Source organism: Homo sapiens, chromosome 8 (genome assembly GCF_000001405.40).
Source record: "Homo sapiens chromosome 8, GRCh38.p14 Primary Assembly".
Classification (NCBI taxonomy): Eukaryota; Metazoa; Chordata; class Mammalia; order Primates; family Hominidae; genus Homo; species Homo sapiens.
In genome coordinates this window covers 59,464,484-59,477,981 of record NC_000008.11, presented here as the reverse complement: position 1 = coordinate 59,477,981, position 13,498 = coordinate 59,464,484, and positions in this window count along the sequence as shown.

Below are 13,498 nucleotides of genomic sequence, written 5' to 3'. Positions count from 1 at the left end.
TTTGTAAAATCTGGAAAGTTAGACATCCAAACTTTAGAATTTAGAAAGCGATTGTAGAAAATACCCAAGACGATGTCATGGACCTAAGGCAACTGTCAGAGCCCCTCTGAAAGGAAGTGGGACACACCCGCTATTCACAGTAATCAGAAACAACAGTAATACTCAGTCTTGACATTCCATCAATAATCCCTTAGAAACAAAGCAAAAACATTATTGGGAAGCTGAATTACAACTAAAGATAGAATAGCTGGTTTAAAAAAGTAGATAATATGGAATTTGGCTTGAAAAAAGAAAACCTTCATGAAGAAATGAAACAGTGCAGGAAACAGCATGTCCCCAACTCTGGGAGATGGTTGAGTTTCAAGACTTGCCCTGCTGCTTCCTCTCAGGTTATACTTATGATTATCATGCTCCCACTGCCCCTGCCATGGCCCTCTCCAACTCACTCCTTCCCTCCATCCCATCTAAGAACAAGAGGTCAAGGGCCATTCATCAATGTTTCCAGCTTTCCAATATATGATGTTTGGAAATACCCTGATGGCCTCTGCCCAGTTGCACAGATGCTAGATAAAAGCTTAGTAGTTACAAAGTCTGGATTTCATTGTTCACCCTGCTATTTATTGGCTATGTGGACAAGAGTAAATTACTAACTAACTTCCCTGAGCTTTGTCTTGTTTGTTTCTATACTGGGAATAGTACAACTTACTTTCTAGAACAATTCTGAAGATTGAATGAGAATATGTGTAGATGGTTTAGCTCAGTGTTTGACACACAGTAAATGATCAATAAAGAGCATTTGTTCTTTTTTTAAATTTAATTTAATTTTCAGTTCTGGATACATGTGCAGGACATGCAGGTTTGTTACATAGGTAAACATGTTCCATGGTGGTTTGCTGCACCTATCAACCCATCACCTAGGTTTTAAGCCCTACATGCATTAGCTATCCTGATGTTCTCTCTCACTCACCCCTGAAACAGACCCAGTGTGTATTGTTCCCGTCCCTGTGTCCATGTGTTCTCATTGTTCAGCTCCCACTTATAAGTGAGAACATGCAGTGTTTGGTTTTCTGTTCCTGTGTTAATTTGCTGAGGATAATGGCTTCCATCTCTATCCATGTCCCTGCAAAGGGCATGATATTGTTCTTTTTTATGGCTGCATAGTATTCCAATGTGTATATGTATCACATTTTCTTTATCTAGCCTATCATTGATGGGTATTTGGATTGATTCCATGTCTTTGCTATTGTGAATAGTGCTGCAATCAACATACGCGTGCATGTGTCTTTATAACAGAATGATTTATATTCCTTTGTGTATATACCCAGTAATGAGATTGCTGGGTCAAATGGTATTTCTGATTCTAGGTCTTTGAGGAATCACCACACTGTCTTCCACAATGGTTGAACTAATTTACATTCCCAACAACAATGTAAAAACATTCTTATTTCTCCACAGCCTCACCAGCATCTGTTGTTTCTTGACTTTTTAATAATCACCATTCTGACTGGTGTGAGATGGTATCTCATTGTGGTTTTGTTTTGCATTTCTCTAATGATCAGTGATGTTGACCTTTTTTCATGTTTGTTGGCCACATAAATGTCTTCTTTTGATAAGTGTCTGTTCATGTCCTTTGCCCACTTTTTAATGGGGTTGTTTTTTTGTTGTAAATTTAAGTCCCCTTGTGGATTCTGGATATTAGACCTTTGTTAGATGGATACATTGCAAAATATTTCTCCCATTCTGTAGGTTGTCTGTTCATTCTGATAATAGTTTCTTTTGCTGTGCAGAAGTCATTGACTGTGACTTACCATTTACCTTTACTTGCTAGCCCATTTCTCAGCTGCTGGACTCTCTTCTCGTTCTCCCTAACCTCCAGCCATCATTGGATTTCTTGGACAATGTGGTTCACTTCCCATACTCCCTTTAAACCTACACTACATTTTGGAAGCTGTCTGCCAGCATGGTCTTTTGGATTGAGACTTCCCTGGATTATATTTGCCCACTATCATTTTGACTTTGTCTCCAACTACAGGCCCTCTTTTGCTTTGCCCACCATATGGCCCAACCTTCCTGGTCTGAGCTACATTCTAAGCTACATTTCTTCTCTTTCAGCTGGGTATCCTCCTCACTCCTACTTGCTACTTGGCTTCCACTGCCCAGTGATGAACTCTTAACTCTGCGCTGGGGCTAATGCTGATAGTGACAGAACACACAAAAACAGGGGTGGGAATCCAGAGAGACAGATTGTTTAGCTTTTGCATTAATGAAAACAAACCATTTGGTTTGGCAGAACACTATCTTTTAAACGGAGGAAACATGTCTTCTACCATAAAGTAGTTAATTTCAGTATTTTTTTGTCAAGATATTATGCCTTTTAAGACATCCTTTGAGAAACCCTTAGATAACTTTGTTTTACCTTGAACCAGTTGTGTTCCCCTAAGTAAACATGTGCTAGATGTGCAACTAAAAAGAAGTTCTGAGAAATTCAAGTACAAGCATAGTGTTGAGAAACACTAATGCCCAAAATGGAAGGAGTGTACTTAGAAATAAAGTCAACATGATTTCAATGTTATTTAAAATGAGTTGAGATTGTTACTTTGTATTCTCCCTTACATTAGCTGAAATTCTTACTGACTTACTAGCAATGCTTGCCAAGATCTTCTTAATAAAGGCCACAGAAACAAATTTAACACCCCAACTTATTTCATATTAGTGTTTCCAACTGATTACAAAAAAACTAATTCACTAAAAATCACAAAGAGGTATTGGCAGCAGTTATTATTCTAAATGATTGTCCTGCCTTAATAAATCCATCTTTTATAATTACTATACTTACAAGTAAAAATGTTATGGTTTTGTTTTCAATTAATTTTTAGGAAGTTAAGAAGCTCAGTTTAAAATAAGACCTAACATTTCCTTACTCCACATCAGGGAATTTTATTCTTAACATATATGCTTTTAAAAAATACCACTCATGTCATTGAAACATCCTAATAAGTTGCATTCTAGCATGAATAATTTCATCAAAAGTGTTTCTCTGGGTCATAGTACCCATAAGGAAATGGTTATTTTTCTTTCTACCACTGTATTATCCGACTCTCATCTTTTAGTACCTACTTGGAATCTGGTGTTTTTCACTTACATCATTTCACCTGAGATTCTAGAATTTACTTTTGCAGAATTCTTGATTAAGCACCTGGCCATCTTCAGGCTTCTTAGCCAAATATAAACTATCATTAAAAGAACAATATCAATCAGTATCAGTTTAAATAAATAAAACAAAACACCATACAAAACAAAACATTTCACAACATGAAGGTATGGAAAAGTATAGTTTTTCTCCTTAAATAGGAGGTATAAGACAATTAGAAGCTCTAGAAACAGCTCTGTGCCTCAGATAAAAAGCAAAATCAAACTAAAGAAGTTATTTTCATCTGAATGCATGGATGTTGACAAAGTAAATCTTTCAGTCTTTTAGAACACAGCCAAATTGGAAGCTAATTTACTGCTAGCTGATGTCAGAAGCAATCTAACTTGTCCACTGCAGAAGCCACACAAAGAACATTACTCATAAGTAAACTACCTTGATAAGAAGCCATCCTCCCAGCATAATTAGGAAATACAATGGCCGGAACCAGAGCTGGAGTTTTAATAAAAAAAGACAGTAAATTCTCTTTATAACTTTCATGACATAAAAGCAAAATATAACAGAGGAAATCAGATTATTCCAAATTGATGGCACTGCAAAGCAGTTAAAAATAGCAAATTATTTTTCTAAATGGAAAGAAGTGACAATATCTTTTGGGTGACAAATACAGTTTATAGAGACCCCAGTGGAATCCCATTTTCAATTCACTAATTCAAGCAGTAATTACCGCACAAGACATTACCAAATAATTTTTTTCTCTGACTATTGATAGACATTTGTTTTAGCCTGACCAAAATCTTCAAATAAAGATAATATTCACCATGTAATGAATTTTGCTCTAGCTTTCATGAAAGTTACAATGATACTTACTGACGTTTAGAAGGTGGTATGATTCAGGCACTTGTTTTTCATCATAGGAATTAAATATCTGTACTCATTATGCATACAGCTTAATTAAGAGCATTTCTTTTGGCACCTAAGTCCAGAATGGCTTTTCTAAATGTTTCCATGGAGTTAAACCTCTATTTTCTCCTCCTGTGATTTACAGGCCCCCAAGTTTAAGGAACACAACATTCCCTTGGCCTTGAATCATTCTCTTGACAACTATGCTCAAATTTTAATAGACAATGATTTTTTTTTTTTTTTTGAGACAGAGTCTTGCTCTGTCACCCAGGCTGGACTGCAGTGGCATGGTCTCAGCTCACTGCAACCTCCGCCTCCCAGGTTCAAGCTATTCTTCTGCCTCAGCCTTCTGAGTAGCTGGGATTACAGGCATGTGCCACCACACCTGGCTATTTTTTTTTTTTTTGTATTTTTATCAGAGACAGGGTTTCACCATGTTGGTCAGGCTGGTCTCGAACTCCTGACTTCGTGATCCGCTCGCCTCGGCCTCCCAAAGTGCTGGGATTACAGGCATGACCCACCGCGCCTGATTTTTAACTCACCTTCCACATGAATCTATTGTATTCTAAACCTAATCCTGGTCTTCAGAGCTTCCTAGAAATTCAGAAATTCTGAATTTTTTATATTATGGTGATATCTGTCATGGTGACTTTCACCTCTTTGACTGTTAAGAACCCATTTGGACTTTTAATATTTTACAGGATAAATTTATTTTATAACCCAATTGTAAATATACAACCCAATACAAGGAAAATGATGTTAATCTTACTAATCAGACTACTGAGTTCAAATTCTAGGTCTTTCACCTTCTTATAACGTAATCTTGGGCAACTGTTGGGGAGGAGAGAAAATTTGTTTAAACTACTGTTTTAATATTTGTAGAATTTCTTACTAACTGCCAGATTAATCTATAGCTTTCAATCATAGTGTTCTATATGGAGGAAATGGTCACTCTAGGAAACTCTCAGGCCTGAGCCCATTCATGATATTAGACCTACCTTCACATACTGTTTCTCTGGGGAATAAAAAACAGAACTTGGAATGATAGCTAGACTTCTGATATTTTAAAGATGTCTATTGCAAATGCAGCTCTTTTGAACATGTATTACATTTGGGCAGCCCTCAATATCTGCTGCACATTAGTCATGAAATCAAGCTAACCTGAAGCAGTAAGACTAAAATAAATGCTTTAAAATTTTGCCTGATACACCAGAAATCTGGCCTATCCATAGGTAGCTAGGGAATCACTCAGCAGAACAACCTGGCATATGGCCACGAATCATGGAATGATGCTCTTTGATCTGTGGATTTTGCTAGGACTGCAAGCCTGACACTTGGAGTGGCTCACTGGATAATAGTTACTGATGGTCATCAAAGGATCGTCAGTCCTTATTCACGTGAGAAGCCCCATCCTGTGCTTCTCTTTTCACTCATGCTCATAGATCATAGATTACAGTCAAAGCAATCTTTAGAAAATAAGTTAAAACATATCGTTAAAACTTAAATCATAAATTACTAGGTTAAAATTTGAAGTGTCAAAATAGACTTTATTTATTTGTTTTATACACTGAGACAATTACCTGTGTTACTATGTCCTGATATGGACAAACTCATTTATTTCGGAGACTTCCAACTTGGGAAATCCTGACAAGTGTTAATATTTGGGAGTCAGCTAGACAGGTGGTGATTATACAAAGATAACCCTATTAATGGCACCATCTCAGCTATGGTAGCCGAGTGTTAGGCTAGTTTCCACTCTCAGGAAAAGGACGAATAAGAGTCTGTGGCTCACGCCTGTAATCCCAGCACTTTGGGAAGCCAAGGCAGGTGGATCACGAGGTCAGGAGTTCGAGACCAGCCTGGCCAATATGGTAAAACCCCGTCTGTACTAAAAATACAAAAATTAGGCATGATGGTGCATGTCTGTAGTCCCAGCTACTCTGGAGGCTGAGGCAGAAGAATAGCTTGAACCAGGGAAGTGGAGGTTGCAGTGAGCCAAGATCATGCCACTGCACTCCAGTCTGGGCAATAGAGCGAGACTCAGTCTCAAAAAAAAACAAAAAAAAAACAACAACAACAGAAAAACAGTATGTTCCAGTTAGTCTTAAGGCATAGCACTCTACTCCAGAAGTCAGTAGCTTTAAAAAGCCATTTTATTTTGCTCATGAATATTGTGGATCAGGAACTGGAGCACGACACAGTGGGGAGGATTCATCTCTGTTTCCTGAGAGGCCCAAGTTGGAAGACCTAAGTTGGAAGCAGCAATGCCTGGGGTGACTTGATGGTTAGGAATGTCTAAGGGGTTCTTCATTCACGTGTCATATCAGTGGATACAAGTTTCTTTTAGGATTTCTGCTAGGGCTGTCAGTTAGAACACTTTTATGTGACCATTTGACTTGCACTTTCCTACAGCAATGGTGGCCTCAAGGTATTCAGATCCTTACCTGGCATCCCAAGACTTCCAAAGTGAGTGTACCAGAGAACAGTGAGAAAATATTTCACTCTTTCTGACCCAGCTTCAAAATTCATTCAGTGTCATTGGAAGGCCAACGCAGGTGGATCACCTGATGTCAAGAGTTCAAGATCAGCCTGGACAACATGGTGAAACCCCATCTCTACTAAAAATACAAAAAATAAGCCAGGCATGGTGGCAGGTGCCTGTAATCGCAGCTACTCAGGAGGCTGAAGCAGAAGAATCACTTGAACTTGGGAGGCGAAGGTTGCAGTGAGCCAAGATTGCGCCATTGCACTCCAGCCTGGGTGACAACAGTGAAACTTTGTCTCAAAAAAACAAACAACAAACAAACAAACAAAAAGCAAAATTCATTCAGTGTCACTGCTACTGGATTTTGTTGTTACAGTGAGTCAAAAGTATGCTAAGATTCATGGGGAAAGGATGTAGACACCACCTCTCTGTGAGAAGAATGTCTAAAAATGTATGGCCATTTACTTAGACCACCACAGATCCAATGATGGCCTTAGATCTGAGTTACTACCATGGATGTCAGGGCTGCTCTCAACCAGCAAAAGCAAAGCAGAACAAGTCCTCCTTGGATTGTGGTACCAAATCAAACCAGATCCTTTATTTATCCAGACCTTTAAGTCTACCTATCTCCTATATTTCTCCATCACAAGCTATATTTAAGTTTTATTGAACCAATAATTATTGGAAACCTTTTAAAAGTAAAGTTGTACATTTGCAATTCTGGGGTAAATAGCAGCCCTACTCCATTGTGCTCAGTGTGGAACACCGGAATGAAGAGTAGCAGATGAGTTACAAGGCAGTTGATGAATCAAAGGGCTTTCATGGACAACAAAGCTCTCATTTCAGTGTTTTTTAGTCACCTTATCCATTAGTATTGTTAATTTATTTACCAAAAAAAAAAAAAAGACATTCTTTCTGATGTTTTCTGCCCACATAGTACATCAATTGAAAATCAAAGGTTCTTTAGCTAGGGCCTAACATAAAATTTAAAAAGAAAAAGTCAAATTACACTCATCTACATAAAGGTAAATCAGTAAGTAGGTAGGTAGACTGACCTTTTGCTCTGGCTGCCCTTAAGATTTTTCCTTTGTTTCAACCTTGGAGAACTATTTACAACAGCAAAGGCCTGGAACTAACCCAAATGTCCATCAATGACAGGCAGCATAAAGAAAATGTGGCACATATACACCATAGAATACTATGCAGCCATAAAAAAGAATGAGTTCATATCCTTTGCAGGGATATGGATAAAACTGAAAGCCATCATTCCCAGTAAACTAATACAGGAATAGAAAATCAAACACCACATGTTCCTACTCGTAAGTGGGATGTGAACAAAGAGAACACATGGACACAGGGAGGGGAACATCACACACCAGGGCCTGTTGGGAGGTAGGGGGCATGGGGAGGGATAGCATTAGGAAAAATACCTAATGCATGCGGGGCTTAAAACTTAGATGATGTGTTGATGGGTGCAGCAAACCACCATGGCTCATGTATAACTATGTAACAAGCCTGCACATTCTGTACATGTATACCAGAACTTAAAGTATAATCATAATAATAAAATAAGTAGGTAAACATCTGTTACCAATAATGAAAGCTTTTTCTCAAACTTCTATGATAAACAGAAATATAATATTTGACCAAAGCATCTATTTTTTTCTACAAAATAAATTGAATATTCTCAGTATTCAAACTTCTTATAAAGGTTGCTGTCTCAATTATCATCTTTTTCATTTTATGAACTGACTAAAAATAAATTAGAGATGAAACGCTAAAGACAGGGAATCTCTACATCTAACTAGTTTTCCATATGAACTAAGAAAGTCAATAGACATAAGTATAATTGTAGCAAGCGTGGTAAATATAATTATGAACCTTCACTATTATCAGTTTGACTAATCCACATTAGTTTGCTAGACTCCCTGGTAACTATTTTCTTTCTAAAATTACTTTTAACTAATAGCACATCATTCTTTACCAATTTGAACCAAAGACCACTCAAATGAAAATTGAAAATCAATCTTGGCCACTCTGATGATGAGTTTCATGTCAGCTTACAATTTGGGGTATTGGTAGTGGATAAAACAAATCTGATATTTGTCCATGGAACCTACAATTTATATTGTGCTGGCAGAGTAGCTTCATAATTTTCTTCAAAGGTGTAAGCTCTACAAATATAAAAGACAATGATTTATCATTAGGAAAAGAAAGAAGGAGAGAGAGAGACAAAGAGAGAGAACAAAAGTGGGCCTGAGGAAATAGAAGTGGAAGGGGAAATAAGCATCAGGATTAGAGGAGAGTACAGTATAAATACTGGGGCAATGTATGAAAAAGAGAAACAAAAATTCAATGTATAGTTTAAATCAACAAATATTGATAAAATACCTACTATATGCCTGAAAAAATTGAGATATAGAATTAACAAGGTTCGTATACTCAAGGAGCTCACATTTTGATGAGTAAGACATATAAAAAAAAACAAAAAAATAGATACATAAGATGTTTAAAAATTGTGATTACTAGGAGCCACATAACCATTGCATCTTACTAGAAAATAGCTTGTATGAATTTCTTTGGAAATTTCTTTCAGTGTTCTTTCTAAAGTCTCCCTGAGGAGATGATATTTCAGTTAGACCTTTACAACAATATTAAATTAGTCAGTCAAAGTGCTGGGAGAGGAGCTGTGTAGTTATACAGAACATTAGGCGCTCTAAGACAGGATTTAGAGTTTCAAGGTACATAAAGAAAGTCAGTGGCTAACAGTTACTGAGAAACTAAGCTACATCACTCCCTTAAAATGTGCTAATCCATTTAAAAATACAACCACAACAAGAAACACAACAAATCTATGATTTAGATACTGGCTTCATTAGTTCACCTCTGTTTAGTGGACAATGAAACTAAATAATGAAAAGGTGAAGTCATCTGCTGAAGCCTGCATGGTGAGCACATGTTGGAACTAATATAGAAACTGGGGCATTCTGATTTTTTGTATTGTTTCTACTGAGATGGGAAACCTGGCAAAAGAAGAGTTGGAGAAACATCAGTACATCAAAAGCTTCATTTCCAAAATAAGTTTGAGATAACTAGCAGCAATCAAAGAGATATAAAATAAGCAATTGGATATATAAGATTAGAATGAGCTTACATTCCTAGCTGAATACTTAAATTCAGGAATTATAACATATAAATGGCAATTTGTGCTTCCAGACAAAATGGAATACCAAAGATTAGAATACACTCCAGCTTGAAACAAATACACAAACAAACAAAGCAGACAAGATAAAGCAATGGTTTTTAAGACACTGGATATCGAGTAACAAAAGACAGAGCTGAGAGACAGGAAATGAAACAATGTGAGCCATAACATTGTACTAGTTTATTATCTTGAAGGAGTTTACAGCTACAATGCATGTAGAAGGAACTGAGATAAAGCCCAACAAACTCTGAGTTGAGTGCACAGAACCAAAAAGTCTAAAGAAACTAATGTAAATAGGCTTCACATGGCAGAGTTTTAGAGAGGCTGAAAATACTATCTTTTCCAACAAGCAAGTCTGGAGAAAACTCATCATTTACAGAGCATTGGGTAGAGTACTCACAAAAACCTTCATGGGGTTTTTATCCCTCAATAGTTACTGAGGGATAATTAGTCTTATACAAAACGCTGCTATGGCCCTACTTAACAAATCCTAAAATCAACACATAAATTTATCCAAGTGTCCTCATGTAATTTGTTTGCATCCCAGAATGATGCTCAATAATATTTATAAGGATACAATGTTCAGCACCCAACGAGGTAAAATTTGCAAACTCTGTCATTTTATTAAAGATTGCCAGGCATGCAAAGAAAAAAAAATACAATCCATAATGAAAAGAAAAATATCACTTGATTGAAACTGATTCAGAATTGGCACAGATGTTAGAATTAGCAGGCAAGAACATTAAAACAATTATTATTATTTTATTCCACATGTTCAAAAAGTTAAGTAGAGACATGGGAGATTTTAAGAAGGTGCTAATTGTACTTTCAGATATGAAAATTATAATGTGTAACATGGAAAATACACTGGATAGAATTAAGGGCCAATTAGACTTGGCAAAATAAACGATTATTGAACTTGAGGGTATAGCTTAGGATTTTCCAAAATAAAACACAAAAAGAAAAGAGAGTTAACATAAATGAAGAAAGCACCAGTGATCTATGGAACAAGTTTAAGCATCATAATATATGTGTAATTGCAATACTAAAGGAGAGGGCAGGGAAGAAATATTTTTTTAATGATGGTCATAATGTTTCCAAATGGATAAACATTATAAGTCACTGATGAAAAAACCTAACAAATTTCACAGACAAGAAATAAGAATGCTATACCATGATACATCTTAATCAACAAATTCAAAAACAGTGATAGAAAGAAAATCTTGAAAGCAGAAGAAAAAACAATATTGCATATAATGGAACAAAGATAAAGATGACAAGAAATTTCTCACTGGAAACAATAAAGCAAAAAACAGTAGAGTAAAATCCTTAAAATACTAAGAGAAAATAAATTTCTTAATATAGAGTTTTATAAACACACACACAAAAAAACTTCCAAAAAAGAGGGCAAATGATAGCAGATACACAAAAGTTAAAAGAATTTATTGCCAGCAGATCTCCATTGCAAAAAAAAAAGTTAATAAATTTTTTTAGGCAGAAAAATTATTTAAAAATCAATATACACAATGGAATAAAGAACATCAGAGATGGTAACTACATTGGTATATATGTAAGATCTTTTTTCATATTTAGTATTTCTACAGGATAATAGATGTTTTAAACAAAATGTAATTTTTAAAAAGTGAATAAAAATAACAAAAAAATCAGCAAGAGGGAAATAGAAGTATAGTAGTGTATGCCAGCACTTGAGGGTACACTAAGTTGTATACTCTAAACTTTACAACAACTACTAAAACAAAAAAGCTAATGAGCCAGTAGAAAGGATAAAAACAAATAATGAAATACAAAAATTATCTAAATCAAGTGGAAAAAGAAATAAAGAGGAATAAAGAAGAGATAAGAAAAATAGATAACAAAGGACAAGATGAGAGAATTAAATTTGTGCTCATAGTCACATTTAATGTAAATGGTCTAAACACACCCATTTAAAAGGCAGAGACTGGTTGATCATAAAGAAACAACTATATGTTGCCTATAAAAAATGCAATTGAAAAATAAATCATTTAAAATTAGGTATATCTCCTAATGCTATCCCTCTCCCCTCCCCCCACCGCACAACAGGCCCTGGTGTGTGATGTCCCCCTTCCTGTGTCCATGTGTTCTCATTGTTCAATTCCCACCTACGAGTGAGCACATGTGGTGTTTGGTTTTTTGTCCTTGCAATAGTTTGCTGAGAATGATGGTTTCCAACTTCATCCATGTCCCTACAAAGGACATGAATTCATCATTTTTTATGCTGCATAGTATTCCATGGTGTGTATGTGCCACATTTTCTTAATCCAGTCTATCATTGTTGGACATTTGGCTTGGTTCCAAGTCTTTGCTATTGTGAATAGTGCTGCAATAAACATACGTGTGCATGTGTCTTTATAGCAGCATGATTTATAATTCTTTGGGCATATACCCAGTAATGGGATGGCTGGGTCAAATGGTATTTCTAGTTCTAGATCCCTGAGGAATCGCCACACTGACTTCCACAATGGCTGAACTAGTTTACAGTCCCACCAACAGTGTAAAAGTGTTCCTATTTCTCCACATCCTCTACAGCACCTGTTGTCTCCTGACTTTTTAATGATCGTCATTCTAACTGGTGTGAGATGGTATCTCATTGTGGTTTTGATTTACATTTCTCTGATGGCCAGTGATGATGAGCATTTTTTCATGTGTCTGTTGGCTGCATAAATGTCTTCTTTTGAGAAGTGTCTATTCATATCGTTCGCCCACTTGTTAATGGGGTTGTTTCTTTTTCTTGTAAATTTGTTTGTGTTCATTGTAGATTCTGGATATTAGCCCTTTGTCTCCCATTCTGTAGGTAGCCTGTTCACTCTGATGGTAGTTTCTTTTGCTGTGCAGAAGCTCTTTAGTTTAACTAGATCCCATTTGTCAATTTTGGCTTTTGTTGCCATTGCTTTTGGTGTTTTAGACATGAAGTCCTTGCCCATGCCTATGTCCTGAATGGTATTGCCTAGGTTTTCTTCTAGGGTTTTTATGGTTTTAGGTCTAACATTTAAGTCTTTAATCCATCTTGAATTAATTTTTGTATAAGGTGTAAGGAAGGGATCCAGTTTCAGCTTTCTACATATGGCTAGCCAGTTTTCCCAGCACCATTTATTAAATAGGGAATCCTTTCCCCATTGCTTGTTTTTGTCAGGTTTGTCAAAGATCAGGTGGTTGTAGATATGCGGCATTATTTCTGAGGGCTCTGTTCTGTTCCATTGGTCTATATCTCTGTTTTGGTACCAGTACCATGCTGTTTTGGTTACTGTAGCCTTGTAGTATAGTTTGAAGTCAGGTAGTGTGATGCCTCCAGCTTTGTTCTTTTGGCTTAGGATAGTCTTGGCAATGTGGGCTCTTTTTTGGTTCCATATGAACTTTAAAGTAGTTTTTTCCAATTCTGTGAAGAAAGTCATTGGTAGCTTGATGGGGATGGCACTGAATCTATCAATTGCCTTGGGCAGTATGGCAGTATGGCCATTTTCACGATATTGATTCTTCCTACCCATGAGCATGGAATGTTCTTCCATTTGTTTGTATCCTCTTTTATTTCATTGAGCAGTGGTTTGTAGTTCTCCTTGAAGAGGTCCTTCACATCCCTTGTAAGTTGGATTCATAGGTATTTTATTCCCTTTGAAGCAATTGTGAATGGGAGTACAGTCATGATTTGGCTCTCTGTTTGTCTGTTATTGGTGTATAAGAATGCTTGTGATTTTTGCACATTGATTTTGTATCCTGAGAC